At 39.6% G+C, this 25,686-nt stretch overlaps 1 protein-coding gene across 3 annotated transcripts in view, besides 2 other annotated features; it reads right to left on the reverse strand.

Moving 5' to 3' along the window:
• The window catches only part of PPP2CA (protein phosphatase 2 catalytic subunit alpha), a 31,742-nt gene that overhangs the window by 5,058 nt on the left and 998 nt on the right, over window positions 1-25,686 (reverse strand). For 2 of the 3 annotated variants that reach the window (NM_002715.4, NM_001355019.2), the window contains exons 2-5: window positions 6,533-6,742; window positions 2,459-2,632; window positions 1,596-1,685; window positions 946-1,107 (exon numbers count right to left, since the gene is read on the reverse strand). In NM_002715.4, coding sequence (NP_002706.1) covers window positions 946-1,107; window positions 1,596-1,685; window positions 2,459-2,632; window positions 6,533-6,742 — 636 coding nt within the window. Of the gene's footprint in view, window positions 1-945; window positions 1,119-1,595; window positions 1,686-2,458; window positions 2,633-6,532; window positions 6,743-25,686 lie in introns of all 3 variants that reach the window. The other variant, NR_149151.2, reaches the window with a different exon arrangement.
• Window positions 20,004-20,063: an enhancer, noted in NCBI's record as "active region_23137". NCBI's record gives its function as "activates an Ori minimal core promoter by ATAC-STARR-seq in GM12878 lymphoblastoid cells {active_cell/tissue: GM12878}" and the evidence as "EXISTENCE:reporter gene assay evidence [ECO:0000049][PMID:35858748]".
• Window positions 20,114-20,173: an enhancer, noted in NCBI's record as "active region_23138". NCBI's record gives its function as "activates an Ori minimal core promoter by ATAC-STARR-seq in GM12878 lymphoblastoid cells {active_cell/tissue: GM12878}" and the evidence as "EXISTENCE:reporter gene assay evidence [ECO:0000049][PMID:35858748]".

Below are 25,686 nucleotides of genomic sequence, written 5' to 3' on the forward strand. Positions count from 1 at the left end.
TGTATTTATTTTCCCCCTAATTACAAAACTTGTTTTTTTTTTAGTACTTTAAAAAAAAAAAGGCTTTAACAAACAGCAGCAACCACCAAAGAATGAAATACTTCTCATGTATCTGCCTTGCTGTAAATGACAATGTCTCATTAGCCTCTTCTCTTGCAGTGGCCTTAAAACATGATTTAAGAATAAGTATTTAAGTGGCCATTCCCTAGAGAAGTAGATACTTAATCCTGGAGACCAGAACCTTACCAATTTTGTCAGTCACAGGTAAAGGCCTGTTAAGTTGGTCACTGCCCAGGAACAAATGCAATATGCCTCTAGGATCTCCAGCCTCATTTCCTCAAAGTCCATCCACCTGAATGCATGAGCTACTTTTGTTACTTTTTGTTTAGTATTGTTCACAATTTCTTTACCTTTAGCAAAGTCAGATTTTATTGATAACCACAGAGTTGTACTAGTATTAATCTAATTAGGACCTTATTTTAAAAATATTCTAATCAGTGTGCCATGTCAAGAACCTTTGCCTCTTTCCCTTCTTTCAAATCACCTGTAATCCTAGCATCCAAAGGACCACTTAAAACATTTTCGTGTATTTCTTTCCAGTCTCTCCTACATACATACATTAAATATACGAAATAACATTGGGATCATAAAATATCATACATGCACACCAACTCCCTATATCTTACTTTCCCACTCTTAAATCTCAAGTACTTCCTAGTCATTCAGATTTCTCTGAAAACATGTTAATGGATTCATTGTAATCAAAAGCTTGAGCTTTTAATTCTAGTAGTGTGCATCTACTGAAAAGGCTCAGGCTATAATGATAAACTCATCAGAAGGAATAGATGGAATTTCTCACAAATGTCATTAATTTAAAACTCCCTAATATCTTCTTTCCTTAAGTTTACTAAAAAAACAAGTCATATTTCAGAGAACACAGCATACCTCCATCACTAGCTGGTGAGCTCTAGACACCAACGTGAGGCCATTGGCATGATTAAATGTCTCAGAAATATCTTGCCCAAAGGTGTAACCAGCTCCTCGAGGAGATATACCCCAACCACCACGGTCATCTGGATCTGACCACAGCAAGTCACACATTGGACCCTAAAAAATAACTTCAAGTTATAAAATGCCTTTTACAAACATGGTTAACACATTATTTGAGTAATTCATCAGAAGCAGCACCCTAAGCCACCCTTTTTGAGTGATGTTTGTGGACAATGCTAATAGACTGTGCAGTTGAAGTCAAACATCTGCATCAAATAAGATGTATTTTCCAGCAGACTTTATGAGACACAGCTGACATCCATGGGACCCAGCAGCAACATGCCCTAATTAATCTGCCTATATTATGCAAATTTCAGAGTCTAAGACAGACAACCCAGGTCCTAATAAGCCCAGCTTCACAGCTGTTGTGATCTTGGCAGGTTTCTTAATGTCAGCTTCTTTTGAACAACAGGGCAGACAAGAGTGCTCACACCTCAAGTTGTTTTTGAGAATTATATGAGAGAATACATCTAATGAACTTACAATTAAACTTCTCCACTCCCTAATAAGTTTTCTGAAAGAATTTTATCAAATAAAAGTCATACCTCATGGGGAACTTCTTGTAGGCGATCAAGTGCTCTGATATGATCCAGTGTATCTATAGATGGCGAGAGACCACCATGTAGACAGAAGATCTGAAAAGAGTGGTTTAAAAGGTTAACCTCACCTAAAAAATTTGTAAACATTCTTGGCTGGGCACAGTGGCTCATGCCTGTAACCCCAGCACTTTGGGAAGCTGAGGCAGGAGGGCTGCTTGAGGCCAGGAGTTTGAGACCAACCTGAGCAACACAGCAAGACCCTGTGTCTCTACAAAAATTTTAAAAAATGAGCTGGGCACCCCCATCACTTGGCCCCTCTGGTGTTTCTGTGCTCTGCCTGAATGAGACTTGACTTTGCAGGGTTCATCTTTGCTCCAGCCCACTCTGAACTATTGAGTACACTCCTGTTCTTCCTAATAGACCATCGCTGTCACAACCAGACTCCACTTCAAACAGCTCCTTTGAGAAAACTTCTTGGATATCACTCCTGCCCTTTGCCAGAGACTAGTATCTTCATACTCATAAAATTTTATTGTAAGTTCTTTTGTGTGCACATCTACCTAGGCCAATAATTAGCTCCTTACATCTCCCAGACTTGTCCAAAAACAGTCTGAGAGGGTAAATGGGCTACATCACCCACCCCTGTGATCCCACCATACAGTTCAGTGCCTGATATAAAGAATAATGCACTTAAAAAAGTTGGACACATTTGTCAAATTAAATTTTTTTTAAGTTTGAATGAATGCTATCAATATCTATTAAAAAATATCCCCAAAGGGGTGTTAAGAGTGGAAAGAGTCATAAGCACCTGAACACTAAAGAAAGCAGATTCTCTGAAATAATCAGCAATGAGTTTTAGATCCACATACCTGCCCATCCACCAAGGCAGTGAGAGGAAGATAGTCAAAAAGATCTGTAAAATATTTCCAAACATTTGCATTTCCATATTTTCTTAAACATTCATCATAGAAACCATAAACTTGTGTGATCTGTCTGCTCTCATGATTCCCTCGAAGAATGGTGATGCGTTCACGGTAACGAACCTAAAACAATAAAATGCAAAACATAAACAACTAGCTCTTTCAAAAACCAATGAAAATTCAAGAAACTTTCTATAGAAAAAAATGCAGTTACAATTTTGTTGAAAAAACAGCACACATCCTCATATCATAGTGAACCAAAACCACAGCTCTACAGAATTTTTAAATGCCCATGGGGTGTTTGCCCACCTCATCTCAACTAAAATCAAACTCCCTCTACCACCAACTTTATACCAAACATAAATCAATGGGCTATTAAAACCCCATAAATTACTTTACGGTTCAGTAATTTTTCACAAATTTATAGTTATGCAACAATCACCACAATCCAGTTTTAGAACCTTTCCATTATCCCAAAAAGATCCCTCCTGCAGTCACTCTCCACTCCCACTCCAGCTCCTGGCAACCACTGATTTACTGTCTTGAGTTTGTCTTTTCTAGAAATGTCATATAAATGGAATACAAAATGTAGTCTTTTGGCTAAATATCACTTAGAATATTTTTGAGGCTCACCCATGTTCTGGCATAGATCAGTGGTTTGTTCCTTTTCATAGTTGCACAGTCCTTCACTGTATGGCTATACCATTTTTTGTTTCTCTATTCACAGTTAAGATGAACTGGCAATTATGTTACTGAGGTTTTTGGCTACTATGAATAATGTTGCTATAATCATATACATGGAAGTTTTTCTGTGGACATATGCTTTCATTTCTTTTAGGAAGATTCCTAAGAATATAATTGTTGGATCACCTGGTAACGTTTAACTTTTTGAGAAACAGTCAAACTGTTTTTCAAAGTAGCTAGACCATGTTATATTCCCACCAGCAATGCATGAAGAGTTTAATCTCCGGTATTAACCAACACTTGGTATTATCAACCTTACTGATTACAGCCATTCTAATAGATGTGAAGTAGTAACTCAGTTACTTTAATTTGCATTTCCCTGATTACAATTGATATCAAGCATCTTTTCATGTGCTCACTGACCACTCATGTATCATCTTCTTGGGTAAAATATCTATTCAAATATTTTGCCCATTTTACAATTATCTGTCTTGTTATTGAGCTGTAAAAGTTTTTTTTTTTTAAATATCTGAATACAAGTACTTTTTTTCTGGTGTCATCTTTTGAAAAAACATAATCTTAATTTTGATAAAGTCCGATTTTTCAATTTTTTATGGACTGTGCTTTTGTTATATCTAAGAATCTTTAACTAACCTGACAAAGATTTTCTGATTTATTCTAGAAGTTTTGTAGCTTTAGCTCTTACATTTAGTTCTATGATACATTCTGATCCATTTGCTTCAGCACCATTTACTGAAAGAAACATCCTTTCCCCCGGTATTCTTTTGCTAAGGCTGCCACAACAAAGCATCAGAGAATAGGTGGCTTAAACAACAGAAATTTACTTCCTCACTGTTCCAGAGGCAGAAGTCCAAGATCAAGGTGTCAGCACAGTTGGTTTCTTCTGATGGCCTCTCTCCTTGATTTATGGATGCTCATCTTCTCCATCTGTCTTATCTTCTCCCCATCTGTGTCCTAATCTCTAATAAGGATACCACTTACACTGGATTAGGGTCCAACCATGTGACCCCACTTTACCTTAATTACCTGTCCAAATACAGTCACATTCTGAGGTGCTGTGGGTTAGGACTTAGACAAATGAATTTTGGGGGCTACAATTCAGCCCATTAACCTCCATGAGTAAGTTTTTTTCCCCCCAGATAGGATCTCACTCTGTCGCCCAGGCTCAAATGCAGTGGAGTAGCTCACCGCAGCCTGAAATTCCTAGGCTCAAGCAATCCTCCCACCTCAGCCTCCAGAGTGGCTAGGACTACAGCACATGTCACCATGTCTGGCTAAAATTGTTTTCTGAAGAGATGGGGTCTCACTAGGTTGCCCAGGCTGCTTGCATACTCTTAAAGGTAGCACATTCATTCCTCTGAGCACTGGGATTCATCCTGGGTTTTTAGCACAGGTTAGCTCTTTTCATAGTATTTGGAGTCACCGCAGAAACCTTCCACCATCTAGTCCAACTCCTTCATTTTACAGATGCAGAAAATAACGATCTCCAAAAATATTTCGTAGGACTTTACACAATTCAGATATTAATCAAGAAAATTCAGCTCACGCTAAAACCACATCTCACTGCTTCTCTAATATTAGGAAAGTCTGTGACAGCCATTTATCATTTTGAATATTCTTTAATAATAAAAATCAGTCTGTTGCCTAGGGGGGAAAAAATCTCCCCAAGATTTTTGGGTAAAGGTAAAGTCAAACAATTTATTTAAAGGGAAAGGCGGAAGCCTGCCACCCTAACAGCTCTTTACCATCTTTTGCTTCATGTTCAGATCATCATCAGTACACTTTGCAAAGCTACAATTGGCATGTAATGCATGTAATTTTGGAACTTGCTTTTTTCGGTTATCATTTCTACCATTCTAGATTTTTGTTTTTTAAAGACACAGGGGTCTTGCTCTGTCACACGGCTGGAGTGCAGTGGTGCATCATGGCTCACTGTAGCCTTGACCTCCCAGGTTCAAGTGATCCTCCCACCTCAGCTTCCTGAGTAGCTGAGACTACAAGCATGCACCACTGCACCTGGCTATTTTTTTTAACTTTTTGTAGAGATGGGGTTTATGTTGACTACGCTGTTCTTAAACTCCTGGACTCAAGTGATCCTTCCCGCCTTCCCCAGCCTCCCAAAGTGTTGAGATAACAGGCGTGAACCACTGCACCCAGCCTAGTCTAGATTATTACTGTCATGGTTAATGGCTGGAAACTATTCAACTGAGCTAAACCATATGTACATACATAATGTATGTAATGTACATAATATTCTCTGTTAAATATTTACAGCAAATGTTTTCTTGAATTTCTCAGAAAAATTCTTTTTTTTCTTGAACTTCTTCCTCGATATTTTTTTTTTTTTTTGAGACAGGGTCTCATTGTTCCCCAAGTTAGAGTGTAGGGTGGCAAGATCAAGTCTCATTGCAGCCACGACCTCCTGGGCTCAGGCAACTCTGCCCACCTCAGCCTGAGTAGCTGGGACTACAGGCCTGTGCCACCACACTCGGTTAATTATTATTATTTTTTTGTAGACAAGGTCTCACTATGTTGCCCAGGCTGGTCACAAACTCTTGGACTCAAGCAATATGCTCACTTTGTCCTGTCCTCCCAAAGTGCTGGGATTATAGCCACGAGCCACCGTGACCAGCTGATTTAAAACATTTTGACATTTGGTATGTTTATATATTTATAATACTTCAAAAGTATCTAAAAACACAAATCTAATTATATTACCTCTCCATACCCCAATTTACTGAACTAAAATATCTATTTGACCAGCCCTCTAACATTTTTCTTTTCCTTTTTTTTTTTTTGAGACAGTCTCGCTCTGTTGTCCAGGCTGGCGTGTAGTGGCGCAATCTCAGCTCACTGCAACCTCCGCCTCCCAGGTTCAAGCAATTCTCCTGCCTCAGGCTCCAGAGTAGCTGGGATTACAGGCACCCGCCACCACCCCCGGCTAGTTTTTTGTACTTTTAGTAGAGATGGGGCTTCACCATGTTCTCCAGGCTGGTCTCGAACTCCTGACCTCAGGTGATCTGCCTACCTCAGCGTCCCAAAGTGCTGGGATTACAGGCATAAGCCATCACGCCCAGCCTATTTTTTCAAACAATCTGACTGAGGCATTCATTCTCCTCCTTTTGTTTTGATTCTGTACCATCCCCTTACTCAGAACGCAGACGCCTATGATTTTTAAGTCCAAAACCTGAACATATGCATTCCTAAATGTGGAATTTTGTTTTAACATTCAGATAGAGAAAATAACTGGGGGAAAAAAAACTTTCAAGAGGACTGTCTTACCCATTTCAACATGCCCCAACATAAAATTGAAATTACCTTAAGAGCTACAAGCAGTGTAACTGTTTCAACTGAATAATATCCTCTGTCAACATAATCTCCCATAAACAAGTAATTTGTATCTGGTGATTTGCCACCAATTCTAAACAGTTCCATGAGATCATGAAATTGCCCATGCACATCTCCACAGACAGTAACTGGACATCGAACCTCTTGCACGTTGGATTCTTTTGTCAGGATTTCTTTAGCCTACAGATGGGAGACAAAAATAAGGCAATACATTTGGCATTAAACAATATTAACAAAGATTTGTTTACTTACACTTAATGTAGCTTAAGGGGCAGACTCAGTCTAAGATAAAATTGCAGGCATTTATGAACCCATTAAAATAAGTGAGATATGATTATAATCCATTAGCTATCTCACCCTGTTACCTAGGGAAAAAATATGCATTCCTATCATCAATACCAGGAGTTTTTTAAAAACCTATCAAATAGCCATCTAATTAAATACTAATTGTTAGCTGTCACATAAAACCAATGAAAATCGAACAGGACATTCAGGTATCTACTTCCTTACCTTCAGAGTTCTAACTACAATGCAGCACTCAAAGATTCTTTTTTTTTCTTTTTTTGAGACAGGGTCTCATTTTGTCACCCAGGCTGGAGTGCAGTAGTATGATCATAGCTCACTGTAGCCTGGATCTTCTTGGCTCAGGAATCTTCCCACCTCAGTAGTGGGGACCACAGGCACACGCCACCATGGCTGGCTAATTTTCACAAACTTTTTTGTAGAGACGGGGTCTCACGTGATCCTCCACCCTCATCCTCCCAAGGGCTGGGATTACATGCATAAGCCACCTCACCTCAGCCCTGTTTGACTTTTTAAAAACATGTTTTTGGCCAAGCACTGTGGCTCATACCTGTGAGAAAATCATTTGCTCAACCATCTGTACCAGCCCCATGCTAGCAACTGGACATATAGTGGTGAACAAGATGGCTCATTCCCACTACCGTAGAGGGGAGAAGGACCACAAACAAGTAACCAAGCCAAAAGTACACTGTGTTAAGTGTCACAAAGGAAAGGGAGAGGGAAACTGGGAGAGACCACTTTACATAAGATACCAAAACAAATTACCAGAGAATTGTTGCTAATGAGCCATGACAACCACAGATGACAAGGACTGGGTTCAAAGCATTGGTATGCAATCTTAGCTGCACATTAAAAATCCCAATGCCCAGCCAGGCGCGGTGGCTCGCACCTGTAATCCCAGCACTTTGGGAGGCCAAGGCGGGCCGATCACTTGAGGTCAGGAGTTTGAGGCCAGCCTGGCCATCATGGCGAAACCCCATCTCCACTAAAAATAAAAAAAACTAGCTAGGCATGGTGGTGCATGACTGTAGTACCAGCTACTTGGGAGGCTGAGGCAGGAGAATTGCTTAAACTTGGGAGGTGGAGGTTGCCGTGAGCCAAGATCGCATCACTGCACTCCAGCCTGGGTGACAGACCAAGACTCTGTCTCAAAACAAAAACAAAAACACCAATGCCCATTCCTTCCCCTAATAAAGTCAGAATTTTGGAGACTGGAATCAAGCCATCAATAATTTTTAAGCACCCCCACCCCTCCTTTTCCCAGTGTGCAACCAAGTTTAAGAACCACTGCACTTTGGGACGCTAAGGCGGGTGGATGGCTTGACCCCAGGAGTTCCAGACCAGCCTGGAGTACAGTGGCATGATCTCGGCTCACTATAACCTCCACCTCCCAGGTTCAAACGATCCTCCTGCCTCAGTCTCCATGAACAATTGCGACCACAGGTGTGCACCACTATGCCTATTTTGCACTTTTTGTAGAGGTGAGGTTTCACCATGTTGTCCAGGCTGGCCTCAAACTCCTGAGCTTAAATGATTTGCCCACCTCTGCCTCCCAAAGTGCTGAATTACAGGCGTTAGCCACTATACTGGCCTGAGATACCTATTAAGAAATATGTACAACCCATTATTATCAAATCCTACTTCATTCTGAAATTTTTCTCTGCAGGGTAATTCCAACTTCCCATTTACTATCACTAAAAAACACAAATTCACTAGGCTTATTCCATTACCAAGTCTGTCTGGCATTAATACCACATCTAGTGTTTTTTTAACACCTATCATATATTAATGAAAATAACTAAATGAAATAAGTCCTACACTGAGAAGAAACTTGCAAAAGTTATTCAGAAGTTTTAAAAGGGCATGACATAAGCAAACAGATGGTTATATACCATGTAAATCTTGCCATGATGTAATTTTCACATTTAAAGCTATCAGAAGTTAAATGTTAATATACTTCTGTGAATATCTGTTTATCTGCAAAGCTATTCTCTGTATTAATAATAAAAAGTTGACTTTCAGGACTGCCTGAAGTTCCTTACTACAACTGACTCAAATTTTCTATTCAAATCATGAAGGAAAATTAAGTCTAAATGCTATTTGTTGCTTTTATTTCAATTTAGGCAAATCACACCGATAAACAGTGTTATCTATTTTTTAAACTATACAAATTAGTAATACATTCTTGTAAAAAATTTCGGCACAGATAAAATGAAATGTTCCCTTTGAGCACCCTACACAATCCCACCCCCTTTGGGCAAAGTTACCAATAAAATTTTGATGTACAGATGCTCCTCAATTTGTAACACAGCTGCATCCAGATAATCCTATCGTAAATATAATCGAGTCAACAGTGTGTTTTCAGCTTACAATGTTTTCAAGTTATGATATATTTATCTGGATGTAGTCCCATCATAAACTGAGGGGTATATTGAATAGCTATCATTTTCACACCATCATTAAGTCGAAAAATTGGGGAGTGTCTGTATATCCTTTAAAACTTTGTTTACAAAGTTTACACACATACTGTATGTCTACAGAAACAATAGTTTTCCTTTGCATTTTTAAACTAGAAACAATATTGTTCAGCAGCCTGCTTTTCTAACAATATATAATAATACATAACATTTATTGAGACAGCTGGTTATTTTCTCATAGTGGAGGCAGAGTATTCCCCTGACCAATTACAATGGCAGAGGGGTGTGAAACTACAGCAATATATATCCTCGTATTTTCTCCTCTGTATACATATGCAGGCACATTTCCTGAGAGAAGATACTATGAAGTGAACTTAACTAGTGTATCTAGTAGTTTGGTTTTTAAATGTTGACATTATCAAATTGTCCTTTAAAATAAAAAGAACAGTTAACTCTTAAGTGAAATTTCTAACTTGTCAATCTAGAAAAGCCAACCAGAGCTCTTTCTTCCCTTCCTACCAAACTTCACAGACCAGAACAAATATAATTAAATACTGGCGATAACAGTGGTATACAGTAGAAGCAACCATCCCTCAGACCGGAGGGGGAAAAAAAAAAAATCATCCAATCAACTATTAAGTAGATCTTAACAAAAATGCAACCTTGGAAAGAACCAGTTTTAAGCATGATTTTGGTTGTTTTGTTGTTGTTGTTTTGGTCTCAACTTACCAGCTCTCAGATAGTTACAACAATAAAACAGACTACACCAGAACAGTAGAACAATAAAAGCTACAGATGTTCATATAAAAGATCATTTTGGGCTGGGTGCAGTGGCTCACGCCTGTAATCCCAAATCCCAATACTTTGCGAGGCTGAGGCGAGTGGATCACTTGAGGTCAGGAGCTCCAGACCAGCCTGGCCAACATGGTAAAACCCCGTCTCTACTAAAAACACAAAACAGCTGGGTGTTGTGGTGTAGGCCCGTAATCTCAGCTACTTGGGAAGCTGAGGCATGAGAATAGCTTGAACCTGGGAGGCGGAGGTTGCAGTGAGCCAAGATCGCTCCACTGCACTACAGCCAGAGTGACAGAGCAAGACTCTGTCCAAAAAAAAAAAGATCATTTTGGCGAGTGCAGCGGCTCATGCCTGTAATCCCAACACTTTGGAAGGTAAAAGCGGGAGGATGCTCAGGAGTTCAGAGACCAGCCTGGGCAACAACATATTGAGACCCCTCTCTATAGAAAATAAAATAAAAAATTAGCCATCTGTGGTGGCACACACCTGCAGTTTTAGGTACCCAAAAGGCTGAGCTAGGAGAATCGCTTGAGCCCAGAAGTTCAAGGATGCAGTCAGCCATGATCACTTGACCCCAGGACGGTCAAGGATGCAGTGAGCCGTGATCATACCACTGCACTCCAGCCTGGTAGACAGCCATCTCAAAAAAAAAAAACTAAAAACAAAATAAAGATAAGCTGTGCTATCACAAGGACTTAGGCCTTATAAATCCTGAAAGCACCTAATAAGAGCGGCTTTATGGATCACCTCCAGAGCCTCCAGACCTTTAGCAACCATCATTTTCAAAGATGGTTATACAATCTCAACTGTCTAGTTTAATACTCAAAGTAAATGGTAGAACCAGACTTTTAAGTAACTTAATTTTGACATTTGAGGTTTTTTATTTTTAATAACCACCTTTTTACTCTGGCATTTTGACTTCTGTAAAGTCTCATATCACCTGAATTAAGAACTGAAAGACAAGCAAAAGCAAAACACGCATACCAAACCTTTTGCTTCCCCTAAAACATTTTTCCAGGACCTCAAATTTCTTAGCTAATATGGTCAACATCTGGGAAAAAAATTAAGATAAAGTTTTTAAAAGAATGTAATTAGGGCCGAGCACAGTGGCTCATGCCTGTAATCCCAGCACTTTGGGAGGCCAAGGCAGGTGGATCATTTGAGGTCAAGAGCTTGAGACCAGCCTGACCAACATAGTGAAACCCCAGCTCTACTAAAAAGCCAGGAATGGTGGCACACACTTGTAATCCTAGCTACTCAGGAGGCTGAGGCAGGGGCATCACTTGAACCCAATGGGCCAAGATCATGTCACTGCACTACAGCCTAGGTGACAAAGCGAGACTCCATCCCAAAAAAGAAAAAAAAGAATGTAATTAGTACCACACTGGTTTTGATTTATCAGAACCCTTCTGAAATTCAGTCAAATGGTATAGACTGAAATGAATGAATTTCAAGCAAACAAAAATTTGGTATAAACTTCCAAGAACAAGGTTAAAACTAGAATGAGGCGATTCTCTTAGTAAGACCTTATCACAAGTAACTGTGGGAAGTTAACATCTCATACTGTCCTAGAATCCAAAAATTTGCAGATTAACTTGAAGAAAAGCAATCTTTGAGGATACTTTTTAAAATCTTTTTTTTTTTTGAGACAAGGTCTTGCTCTGTTGTCCAGGCTGCAGTGCGGCACCATCACGGCTCACTGCAGCCTTGATCTCCCAAGCTCAAGTAATCCTCCCACCTTAGTCTCCCGAGTAGCTGGGACTGCAGGCATGCACCACTGAGGACACTATCTTATTACCAATGTCCTCTCAGCATTCTGGTTTGGATTCAGAAATCCCACAACCTTATTTCCAACCCACTATAAAATAATCAGCTATAAGATAAATGACCCACAGACTCAACATTCTTGAATACAGGCCATCATAACCACTGTAGTAACATGAAATTACAAACAAAGCAGGCTTAAACTAAAGCTCATAAATCATCCATGCTGTTTTTCATGGAAGACAATTTTTTTTTTTTTTTTTGAGACAGAGTTTCGCTCTTGTTGCGCGGGCTGGAGTGCAATGGTGCGATCTCGGTTCGCTGCAACCTCCGCCTCCTAGGTTCAAGTGATTCTCCTGCCTCAGCCTCTTGAGTAGCTGGGATTACAGATGCAAACCACTCCCAGCTAATTTTTTTTTTTTTTTTAGTACAGACAGGATTTCACCATCTTGCCCAGGCTGGTCTCAAACTCCTGACCTCAGGTGATCCACCCGCCTTGGCCTCCCAAAGGCTGGGATTACAGGCATAAGCCACTGCGCCCAGTGGAAGACAATTTTTAAAAGTACATGAACCAACAACAGATTCACTAACCACTTATTATTTTTGGCTGAGTGCAGTGGCTCACGCCTGTAATCCTAGCACTATGGGATGCCAAGGCGGATGAATCACTTGAGGTCGGGAGTTCGAAACCAGCCTGGCCAACATGGTGAAACCCCATCTGTACTAAAAATACAAAAAAATTAGCCAGGCGTGGTGGCAGGCACCTGTAATCCCAGCTACTTGGGAGGCTGAGGTAGGAGAATCACTTGAACCTGGGAGGCGAGGTTGCAGTGAGCGGAGACCGCACCACTGCACTCCAGCCTGGGTGACAGTGAGACTCCATCTCAAAAATAGTAATTTCCTTAAGAGCACACAATAACTACAGGCATGCCTCATTTTACTGTGCTTCTCTTTATTGCACTTTGCATATGTTGCATTTTTTTAATCAATCAAAGCTTCATGGCAACCCTGTGTGGAGCAAGTTTATCAGCACCATTTTCCCACCAGCATGTGCTCACTTCTTGTCTTTGTCACATCTTGGTACTTCTAAAATTATTTCAAACTTTTTCATTACTATTGTATCTGTTATGGTGATATGTGATCAGTGATCTTTGATGTTACTATTGTAATTGCTGTGGGGCACTACCAACCGTGCCCATAAGACAATGAACTTAATAAATGTCGTATATATTCTTACTGCTGCTGACTGGCCATTCTGTCTCTCCCTCTCCTTGGGCCTCCCTATCCCCTGAGACACAATATTGAAATTAGGCCAATTAATAACCCTACAATGGCCTCCAAATGCTCAAGTGAAAGGAAGAGTTGCATATCTCTCACTTTAAATGAAAAGTTAGAAATTATTAAACTTAGGAGAGGGCATATGGAAACTCCAGACAGGCCTAAAGGTAGGCTTCTTGCACCAAACTGCTAAGGTATAAATGCAAAGGAAAAGTTCTTTAAGGAAATTAGAAATGCTACTTCAGTGAACACACAAATAGTAAGTAAGCCAAACAGTCTTATTGCAGATACGGACAAAGTTTTAGTGGTCTGGATAGATCAAATCAGCCACAACATTCGCTTAAAAGCCAAAGCCTAATTCAGAGGTAGGTCCTAATTCTTCAATTCTATAAAGGCTAATAGAGGTGAGGAAGCTGCAGAAGTTAAGCTTAAAGCTAGCAGACTGGTTCATGAGATTTAAGAACCCATTTCCATAACATAAAAGGGCAAGATAAGGCATCAAGTACCAATATAAAAACTACAACAAGTTTCCCAGACGATCTACCTAAGATAAGTGATGAAGGTGGTTGCACTAAACAACAGGTTTTCAATGTAGACGAAATAGCCTTCTAGTGGAAGAAGATGCCACTTAGGACTTTACTAGCTAGAGAAGTCAATGCCTGCCCTCAAACCCTCAACGGACAGGCTGACTCTTGTTAGAGGCTAATGTAGCTGGTGACTTTCAGTTGAAGCCAAGGCTCATTCAACATTCTGAAAGCATTTAAGCCATTCTTTAGCACTTAAGAATTATGCTAAATCTACTACGCCTGTGCTCTAGAAATGGAACAACAAAGCCTGGATGACAGCACATCTGCTTACAGCACGGTATACTGAATATTTTAAGTGCATTACTGAGACCTACTGCTCAGAAAAAAAAAAAAGATTCCTTTCAAAATATTACTGCTCAGCCTGGGCAACACACCAAAACCCCATCTCTACAAAAAAATTAAAATATTAGCTGGGCATAGTGGTACACACCTGTAGTACCAGCTACTTGGAAGGCTGTGGCAGGAGGATTGCTTGAGCTCAGGAGTTCAAGATCAGCCTGGGCAATGTGGCGAGACCCTGTCTCTACGAAAAATAAAAATTAGCTAGGCATGGTGGTGCACTCTGTGGTCCCAGCTGCTAAGGAGGCTAAGGCAGAAGAATCACTTGAGCCCAGGAGTTCAAGGTTCCAGTGAACTATGATGATGTCACTGTACTTCAGCCTGGGCAACAACACCATCTCAAAATAAATAAATAAAAGCACAAAATGATTACAACCATGTCACAATTCTTTGCATTAAAAAAAGGCTGAAAAGCCCAGGCACAGTGGCTCACGCCTGTAATTCTATCACTTTGGGAGCCAAAGCAGGTGGATGACTTTAGGTCAAGAGTTTGGGACCAGCCTGGCCAACACGGTAAAACCCCATCTCTACTAAAAATACAAAAATCAGCCAGGTAAGATGGCACAGGCCTGTAATCCCAGCTACTTGGGAGGCTGTGGCATGAGAATTATTGGAACCCAGGAGGCAGAGGTTGCAGTGAGCTGAGATCGTGCCACTGCACTCCAGCCTATGCAACACAGTAAGACTCTCTCTCAAAACTAACAAAAAAAGGCTAAAAAAAAAATTAAAAGGTTAAGATTTCACTGAAAGCTTTAAGATATATAACTATCTTATTCTTACCAACCAGAACTCTTCTCATTTCTATTACCTTTCAGTTTTTACCCACACAGACCTCTTACTTATAATTGACTGGCATCTCATTTTGTGTCCTAAAGTTTCATACTAACTCGTTTCTACATTATAGTGATTTTTTAAAACTACATAATGCCCTTCTAAATAGACCTATACGTGTACAGTATTATTGCTCATTTGAATTATTTCCTTTCAAAAAGCTTTAATTGTGGGATTACAGGGCAAAATAGCATTAACTTTTTTTGTTTCATATGTACTATAAAACTCAATTATGCCAATTTGTTATACAATAATAAATGAAAGAATATACTCATTCTCAGCTATTTCAGATATACAATGTGGTATCACTAATTTAATTGGCATTTTTCATTTCTGAGTACAAACTTTTTATTCCATGTTTATTTACCATCAGTTATTTCTCCTCTTATACAAGTTGTCCATGAATATTTTTGAACATCTGATCATTAAGAGCTAGATGATGTTCTGAAGTATTTGTATAAACTATTTTAAACTGTTATTTTAAGTAACTTTTTGGCATTTTGTTTCTCTTATTTTTTAAATATATAGCCAGAAATTTTCTATGCCCATTTTTGCTTTGTAATTTTTCTCCTACAATTATTAAGAAAAGTTATCACGTCTTGCCATTTTCTAAGAGTTTTTCATTTTAAAATCTATACTTTAATCCTAAGATTACACGACAACTACTCAAGCTTCTTTTTATATCAGCATCTTAAACTTGCATCGTTAACATTATGACATTAACTTTAAATGTTTAATAATGACCTTGAAGTATTTTGGAATCCTGCATCCAAGAAAAAAAAAATCAATCAATTGGGACCTAGGGCTTGAGAAGTGTCTAATATTTATTTACTTTTTTTTTTTTTTTTTGAGACAAGTTCTTGCTCTGTTCCCCAGGCTTCGAGTGCTGTAGCATGATCACAGCTCATTGCAGTCTAGATCTCCTGGACCCAAGCAATCCTCTTGCCTCAGCCTCACAGAGTAGCTAGAACCACAGGTGTGCCACCACACCCAACTAATTTATTTTTAAAAATTATTCGTAGGGCTGGGTGCAGTGGCTCACGCCTGTAATCCCAGCACTTCGGGAGGCCGAGGCAGGTGGATCACTTGAGGTCAGGAGTTCAAGACCAGCCTGGCCAAAGTGGTGAAACCCCATCTCTACCAAAAAAAAAATACAAAAATATTCTGGGCATGGTAGCCCTCGCCTGTGGTCCCAGCTACTCAGGAGGCTGAGGCAGGAGAATCGCTTGAACCCAGGAGGTGGAGGTTGCAGTGAGCCAAGATCATGCCACTGCACTCCAGCCTGGGTGACAGAGCAAAACTCCATCTCAAAAAATAAAAATAAAAATAAAAATAAAAAAGTAAAAATTTTGTTGTAGAGACAGGGTCTCACTATGCTGCCTAGGCTGGTCTTGAACTCCCGGGCTCAAGATATCCTCCTGCCCTGGCCTCCCAATCTGCTGGGATTATAGGTGTAAGTCACCAGGCCTAGCCTCTAATTCTTTAAAGTCCGGTCACCAATGTTTAATGTATACAGTAACTCCTAAGCAGACTCTCACTCCCTTCACCATTGAAAACAGATAACATTTCCTGAACAAATGCTATCTCAGAGAAAAGATGAGACTGAGATAATAACCCTTATTCTTCAAATCTTAGGACTTGGGTACTCCAACGAAATCAGATTATGCCATTCAACAGCAAGGCCAGCTGAGAGCAGCAAGTGGCTCTGATGGACAACAGAGTACTCTTGCCACTACACTCCAGGGAAAACACCCAAGCACTGTTTTTAAGATAATTTCATCAGATGTCCAGCAAAATATTTTCTTAGTCTCAAAAACAGTTAATCACATAACAGTACCAATTCTGGCACTAAAGTATACCAAGAAATAACTTGCTTCAAAATACGAGTTCCAATATTTGGGGTTAATATTCATTTTTGTTGTTAGCTACATGAAAGGGATCATGATGTAACTAAAAGCATTCTCCTAAAGGTATATTACAAGTGGTTTCGGGTGGGCACGGTGGATCATGCCTGTAATCCCAGCACTTCGGGAGGCCAGGGTGGGTGGATCGCTTGAGGTCAGGAGTTTGAGAACAGCCTGGGCAACATGGCGAAACACCCCCTCCCCTACTAAAAATACAAAAATTAGCTGGGCATGGTGGTGCATGCCTGTAATGCCAGCTACTCAGGAGGCTGAAGCTGGAGAATCACTTGAACCCATGAGGCGGAGGTTGCAGTGGGCTGAGATTGTGCCACTGCATTCCAGCCTGGGCAACAGAGTGAGACTGCCTCAAAAAAAAAAAAAAAAAAAAGTGGTTTCCTTCAAAAGAAGGTAGTCAAACACCGAAGAACCCCAAGGTCTATACTGAGGAAAAAGTGTTTGGATTAATCACAGATCAATGATTTATACTTAACTAAAGAAACCTGTTTTTTGTTTTGTAGAAACGGTGGTCTCACTACATTGCCCAAGCTGGTCTCAAACTCCTAGTCTCGAGTGAGCTTCCAGCCTCCGCCTCCCAAAGCACCAGGATTGTAGGTATGAGCCACCATGCCTAGACAGAAATCAAGTTTCTGTATCATCAATTCTGCCCTTGATGAAAAACGTCAATGCAGGCCTAACCTGTCTTCTCTGTAGCATCAAACTCAAAATCAGACACAAATAACCTCTTTACAATCTTAGTACTAATAATAGTACTATTTGACAAAGGAATCTCCATTTTTGAAAGTAATTTTACTACTAAAAGTCTGATTATTGGCCGGGCGAAGTGGCTCACGCCTGTAATCCCAGCACTTTGGGAGGCCAAGGCAGGCAGATCACCTGAGATCGGGAGTTTGAGGACCAGCCTGACCAACACAGAGAAACCTCATCTCTAATAATACAAAAATTAGCTGGGTGTGGTGGCGCATGCCTGTAATCCCAGCTACCCGGGAGGCTGGGGCAGGAGAATTGCTTGAATCTGGAAGGTGGAGGTGGCGGTGAGCCAAGACCGTGCCACTGCACTCCAGCCTGGGCAACAAGAGCGAAACTCCCTTCTCAAAAAAAGAAAAAAAAAAGAAGTCTGATTATTAATTCTAATGTTCATTGTAACTCTAGTTCAAGTAAATTTAACATTTCACATCCTTACCATATAGTTGGACAGTTCTACCAATATAAAGACATAGAAGAAACACTGGAAAAAATGCAATTAATTTTTGAATTTTATTTTTCAGTTTAAGAACTGAAATCATTTGAAAATTCTTAATAAGTAAAATTACTAAATTCACAGGCAAAAAAAATTTTTTCAATATCCCAAGAGAATTTCATTTTGTCTCATACTGTTTTTATGTCAAGATGTACGGTTGGTTTGATATGTCATTTTGATAATTGTGCAAAAAAATCCAAGGTTTGTGATAAGTTAGTGTACAGGGCTAGAGTTTGAGGCGTGGGGTGATACATGATGTAGAACATATTACTAGCCCTGGAAGCAAATGAGTTTTGAGTTAATTTCCTTCAACTATCAAACCATTCTTCATACTAATCATGTGTTGCTTAATCGCAGGGATACATCAAATTATTTAGTTGTTGTGTGAACATCACAGAGTGGTCTTACACAAATCTAGATAGTATAGACTACTACAAACCTAAGCTATTGGATAGCCTATTGCTCCTAGGCTACAAACTTGTACAGCATTTACTGTACTGAATGCTGTAGGCAACTGTTAACATAATGTTAAGTATTTGTATAACTAAACATAAACAATATAAAGTGTTACACTATGACATTACAAGGTCACCAGGTGATAGGAATTTTTCAGCTCCATTATAATTTCATAAGACCACCATCACATGCAGTCCACCACTGACCAAAATGTCATTATGTGGTGCATGACTACTTGTCTTTCATTAACTACACTGAACAGATACCACTAATATTTCACGAAACATTTCAATCTTCTTTGATTAAAATCAGTATGGTTATATTTTAAAAGTTTAACCCTCCAGGTAATATTCTAGTAACTAGTATTTTCTGTTTGGCTCTAAGGCTTAGGACCTAAATAAAAGAAAAATGTTGGGAATGAGGGATAATTCTAAAAGTGTAATAAAAGAAAATATAAAATTTGTGAGTTTTCCCATCTGTTTCTGCAATATCACCTTTGCCTCTGACCAAAAGGAAAGATCCTTAAAGCCCTATGTCTCATATGCACAATAGACTAAACTCAACCTTTACCAACTAACCTACATATGTGAATGAATTAAACACTCCCAATCATTCCTGCATAGAAAAAGAAGTTTTAATCTACTACACAACTGAGAAATGCTGCTATATATCTACTTATTAAAAAATTGTCACAATAATACATCATGAACAAGATTCAACCACTCTGGGTCTCAGTTTCCTCCCTCATCTGTGTAAGATGAATTAGTCTAGATGGTTGTTTCTTTCTTTTTTTTTTTTTTCTTTTAAGATGGAGTCTTGCTGTCGCTTAGGCTGGAGTGCAGGGGCACGATCTCGGCTCACTGCAACCTCTGCCTGCTGGGTTCAAGCAATTCTCCTGCCTCAGCCTCCCGAGCAGCTGGGACTACAGGCGCCCACCACCATGCCTGGCTAAATTTTTTGTATTTTTAGTAGAGACGGGGTTTCACCGTGCTAGCCAGGATGGGCTCCATCTCCTGACCTCGTGATCCACCCACCTCAGCCTCCCAAAGTGCTGGGATTCCAGGCGTGAGCCACTGTGCCCCGCCAGCCTAGATGGTCTTTAAGGTTGATTCCATTACTAGAATTCTACCCCATCCTAAAGCATGTCTTAAGCCTATTTTATTAAGTAAAGCCAGCCAAAAGAAATAGATAGTGGGCATTATTGCTCATTTACAGATTAGTGGCAGAAAAATAAGTTACTTGATCACCACCGGCACAAGCATTCTAAAACATTCCCTATCTAGAATTAACTATAAAGTCAATCTCCTGACTAATCCAAAACTGTGCTATTAATTAGAGCAAAACCAAACTAAGAAATCCTTATACACGAGAATAAGGTAGTGCTTTTTAGACAAAGCTCAATAGTGACAATAATGCATACAATGAAGGTTTATTAAATACTGGTTCCAAAATCAAATGTACACTGTCACACGATAGCATCAATGACACTCCATAACCTCTGTGAACTACATTTTGCAGGCCTTTGGCCAGGTAAACACATGCTACTGCTTGTCTCCCATTCTACTCCTCGTCCCCATCTAGGACAAAGGTTTGCAACCTTCCAGCCTCAACACCAGCAGGGTAAAAATCCCCATCTGTAGTAGCAACTAAATGACTAAACTAAGGCAGAAGTGGCAACACAGGGTGCAAGAGGGACTGGCCAACTGGTCACATTTAGTTTAAAAAATACCCAGATTCAGATATACACGCATCTGTGTCACTGCCTTGTTCATCCATTCTAAACCACAATCCACAACAGACCAATAAACAGGCAATAATACTGCAATGTGAAGAAGTTAAGCAGTTAGCTGGGCACAGTGGCTCACACCTGTAATCCCAGCACTTTGGGAGGCTGAGGCGGGCGGATCACTTGAGGTCAGCAGTTCAAGACCAGCCTGGCCAACATGATGAAACCCTGTCTCTACTAAAAATAAAAAAATTAGCTAGGCATGGTGGCACATGCCTGTAATCCCAGCTACTCAGGAGGCTGAGGCAGGAGAAACACTTGAACGTGGGAGACAAAGGTTGCAGTGAGCCGAGATCATGCAACTGTACTCTGGCCTGGGCAACAGAGCGAGGCTCCGTATCAAAAAAAAAAAAAAAAAAAAAGCAGTTAATCTCAGGTTGTTCTTTACCATTCTTTCAAACCCCACCTCTCAGCCATTTACTGACAATAGACACCTCTCCCTTCTTCAGCCTGGTCTACCACTTCTGCCCCAGAAGCCAAAAGAAAATCTATTTAAAACAAAAACAGGTCTGGTGCCAGTGGCTCATGCCTGTAATCCTAGCACTTTGGGAGGCTGAGATGGGTGGATCACTTGACGTAAGGAGTTCAAGACCAGCCTGGCCAACATGGTGAAACCCTGTCTCTACTAAAAATACAAAAATTAGCTGGGTGTGGTGGCACACACCTATAATCCCAACTATTTGGGAGGCTGAGGCAGGAGAACTGCTTGAACTTGGGAGGCAGAGGGTGCAGTGAGCCGAGATCACACCACTGCACTCCAGCCTGGGCGACTGTGAGACTCTATCTCAAAAAAAAAAAAAAAAAAAAAAGCCCACAAAAACAAAAATCTTCCTCCTTCATGGTTCTCATCCAATTCAGATCTGCCTGTGTATGAGTGGAGGTTGACAGCTTTCTCAGGCAAGGATGATAATGAAGTAAGAGAAATGGGTCAAAGCAGAAAGAATAAATAGTGTCTCCCTGTTACATATAGCTTTGCCTCTCTCCTCAGTACCCTGATAAAAGACCCCACCAAACCCAGTCTCTTAGTTTTCCTAACTTACCCCTTCCAAACTAAGCAAAGGCTATCTCACAGGTAACTCTGACAAACCTGACTTACCATGAGATAGGGAACATATTTGCTGCCATAAAACAGGGCCACACCAGACTGGTAATACAAATGTTATCCCACATACTCCTGAAGGGTCCTTCATTCTTTCTACAGTACATGAGCTTCAACTTAGCCTTACAGCCAATTTTCTGAAAACATACAATTCTGGTCCCAGTGGAGAACGTAGGGAGGGTTGGGGAACCTGTGTTTCTGAATAGTGGGAATGTTCACCTTTTCTGTTTCCTCATGAAGTCAACTCCAAACTAACTGCATTACAGCTTCCTGCCTAGGAGACCATGAAACAAATACACACATGCATGACATTTGACTGTGGAAGCCAAGAGGATGAAAAGAGGCTTTTTTGGGGCCGGGGGGAATGGGGTCTCCCTCTGTCGCCCAGGCTGGAGTGCAGTGGCACAATCTTGGTTCACTGCAACCTCCGCCTCCCAGGTTCAAGCAATTCTCCTGTCTCAGCCTCCCCAGTAGCTGAGACTACAGGTGTGTGCCACCACGCCCGGCTAATTTTTTGTATTTTTAAGTAGAGACGGGGCTTCACCGTGTTAGCCAGGATTGGTCTTGGTCTCCTGACCTCGTGATCCGCCTGCCGTGGCCTTCCAAAGTGCTAGGATTACAGGCGTGTGAGCCACCTTGCCCTGCTGAAAAGAGGCATTTTATAAGTTGCAATAAACAATATAAAAAGTCAGTTATACTTTATTAGAATACTTTAGAGCTCAGTCTCTGGATCATGATTTATACTAAGAATACAAGGGAAATTATCTAGGGTTTTCATCTCACCAATCTCATTTGAGGGGCAAATGTTGTCAGCTACATCCAAAACTGAATAATAATTACTCTTTCCAAGACAAAGAGGAACAACAGTATGTAACATGAATAGGAAGCTTTCAAGCAATGAAAATAAAAATAATGTCTTGGCCAGGCGCGCTGGCTCAAGCCTGTAATCCCAGCACTTTGGGAGGCTGAGGTGGGTGGATCACTGAAGGTCAGGAGTTCGAGACTAGCCTGGCCAACATGGTGAAATCCCATCTCTACTAAAAATACAAAACAGCTGGGCATGGTGGTGGGTACCTGTAATCCCAGCTACTAGGGAGACTGATGCAGGAGAACTGCTTGAACCTGGGAGGTGGAGGTTGCAGTGAGCCGAGATTGCGCCACTGCACTCCAGACTGGGCAAAAGAGTAAGACCTTATCTCAAAAAAAAAAAAAAAAAAAAGTTTTATTTTATGAAAGTGTTGACTTCCCAATTTAGCTTGGCCCCAATTTACCTACATCTTTCACTACTAACACTACCTCTGAAAACAGAAGGGGATCTGTGAAGCAATACCAGAACATTAGGCTTAGAATCCACAAGCCTTGGCAATCTCACTTTTAGCCCCTTTAGTCAAGTCACTTTACCTTTCTGAGTCTTTGAGTTGCATCTGTAACTGAGAACAATATCTTATAAAAGTATGATAAAAATAATGTTCTGTAACATGCTTCCCCCACCTGCTTGTCCTCAATATTCAAATCACTTCTAGAGAAATGAGCCAAACACCCTTTAAAATGAAACGTACACACATACTCACAGCAACATATTACCCAATTCATATAAGAATGTCATCTTGGTCAAATATTTTTCAGCTCATCTAATTAGAAGGAAGCAGTTTGTTTTTTCCATACTCACGTAACAAATGTTAAAACTAACATTTTAATGACTAATGACTGCACTTTATTTATAGTGCTTGCAAAGCAATGGAAAACAGCATACCTAGGTAAAGAACTTCTTTGAAAAAAAAAAATCTGGCTATCAAACAACGTTCTCCACATGTTTGGTAAGCACAAAGCCAAGAAATCATACCCAAGCTAAAACAAAGCTGAAGTCACATAATAAAAGATTGTTTACTGTAGTCAATGCAAAAGCAAGTTGATACTATTTACTCCTTTCAATCTGTAGATTGAAACATACCCGGCCAGTTATACTGATGTAATGCTGATTATAGAACTGAGCCTGAGGCAAAGCTGCACACCAAATTATTAAACTATCAACAAATTATGATTCTCAAGATGACAAAGTATACTATACACTAACAACCTTGGCTTTTGTATAAGTCTTAATCACATCTTAAAATTCTTTTTAGCTAGTCAGTAACATAAAAACCATGTTCACTCTTGTCTTTTATAAATGCATACTTAGATTCTCTCAGTTCTGAACATGTAACACTGTTAATTGTTGATGGGTTAACAAAATAATGGCCTCAGGATTTTTTAGTAACAATGACCTCTTATGGTATACATCTATTTTTACTATTTAAATATTTCCCCTTCAAATCAGGCATTTAGGTGGGTAGAAGGAAGGCTTTTACATTATCATTCCTTCTTATGATTGAAGAAATTATCAACTATTAACAAGTATCTTTTTTCTCAAAAAATACTATTATTATACACTAATGAAAAAAATTAGCCCTCAAATTTTCAAAATTACTCTTTAGAAGGCAATCACACCAAAAAGCACATATGTAGCTTTCACCCAGAGATGCCATTGGCACACAAATATTAACAGTGAAAGACAGCTTTTGTTTTACTAGAAAGACTTGTACAAAAAACATCAGTTCATGGATTCTACATACCCAAAAAACTGTCTTCAAATTAATTTAGTTTGGAAGTTTAATATCATCCTGAAAGTTGAAATACTTACTTACCAGTTATAAACAGTATGAAGGTTGTATAATGATATCCACCAAAACGGATCCATTCCACAGAAACTTTTATATAACACCTACTCTCAAATATTATTTCCATCTTTTTTGGCACTCAGAACTAAAATTTGCGTAAGCAGCGCAAGCAATGGAGATTTACCTCACTACATCTTAGTTTTACAAAGATGTGGAAAGCAATATTAGATGCATCAGCTTCACCCACCCCACTCTAGCATCCAGTATTATCTTATCTTCTACAACAGTTTCCAACACAAACCCTCTACTTCCATGCTCCATCTCCCACACCTTTTCATACCATGCTTTTCTTTCAAACTAGATTCATAGCTCCTCGACAATAAGCATACTTATTCTTCATTGCTTTTCATTTCCCTCAAAAGAGTATGCAATCTTAGATATTCAATAGATGTTCAATATTAAACACACTACTAATTTAAAACGGAATTGACTGTATAATCTCAGAACACATTTTAGTTTATAGACAGGAAAACAAGGACAAGTGAAGTGGCTGTCCCAAAGTCTGTCACAATTACTCAAGTAAGAGCAGAAGGACTCATGTCCAAATCTAACTCGCAGTCCAGTCTTCCAGTTACGTCATTACCTCCCTCCTTTCCACGTTTTCTTCAAAAGACTAGTCAACTGGCCAACTACTGACTTAAAAGTCTTTCATATAATGCACTGAATTCCAAAAATCGGTAAGATCATCATGTACAGTACCTAGAAATTAAGACCTGGCAATATACATTCATTTTTAAAGGCCAATTTTAAACCTTTAAAATAAATACCAACCTCATTTGACGTGAGAGGGTAAAGAAACAGGAGATTCAATACATCGCTACCATTAAAAGGCATCTCCAACAGATGATGTGCCACCTCATCCACTAGTAGTAGTTTTGTTCAGGCTTGGGAGAAACAAATCTAAATCTGACTTACTTAAATTCCAATTGTTCACAACATGGTTTCTAAAAAAGCCTGTCTTGGAAACATATACGTCAAACTCATGAACCTAATTTTCACATCAAACCAGAAACAAATCAGGATAATAGTTCTCCATTAATTCTTTTCACGGATACAAAATGCTAATATGATACTCCACTATTCTGTACTAAAGTGACGTGCTGCAAAGTTAATTTTGAAAAGGGAAGTTAAAATGTTCACAGCAGAGATCAGCATTTTGTGTACTTTAGAAAACTGAGTTACAAGAATTTAAAAATACAACACAAAGCTAATAGCTAAATTAACTACCTGTTTCCCCAACCCCCAGGGGAAAACAAAAGGGAATTAGCTAATATAAAGTTTAGTGTTACTAAGTGGACTACAACATTCTATTTTCAGTGTATGTGAGACATTATTTAAACACTAAGCACAATGTCTGGAATACAATCTCAGTCGACAGTTATTATCACTACTACTACTTGCAGCCACAAAATACTATCAAGTAATTTTTGCAACAAAGATACAAAATTTACCGCTCTTCCATTTTATGTTGTTCATTTTAAAAATAAACGGCAAAATGCCAAGTGTGTTAAGCTTAGAGAAGGCTTTGAGTCAGCATATAAATCATATTCAACCGACACTTGATTTCCAATCCAAAAGCTCCTTATGTAG

This window comes from Homo sapiens, chromosome 5 (genome assembly GCF_000001405.40).
Source record: "Homo sapiens chromosome 5, GRCh38.p14 Primary Assembly".
Lineage (NCBI taxonomy): Eukaryota > Metazoa > Chordata > Mammalia > Primates > Hominidae > Homo > Homo sapiens.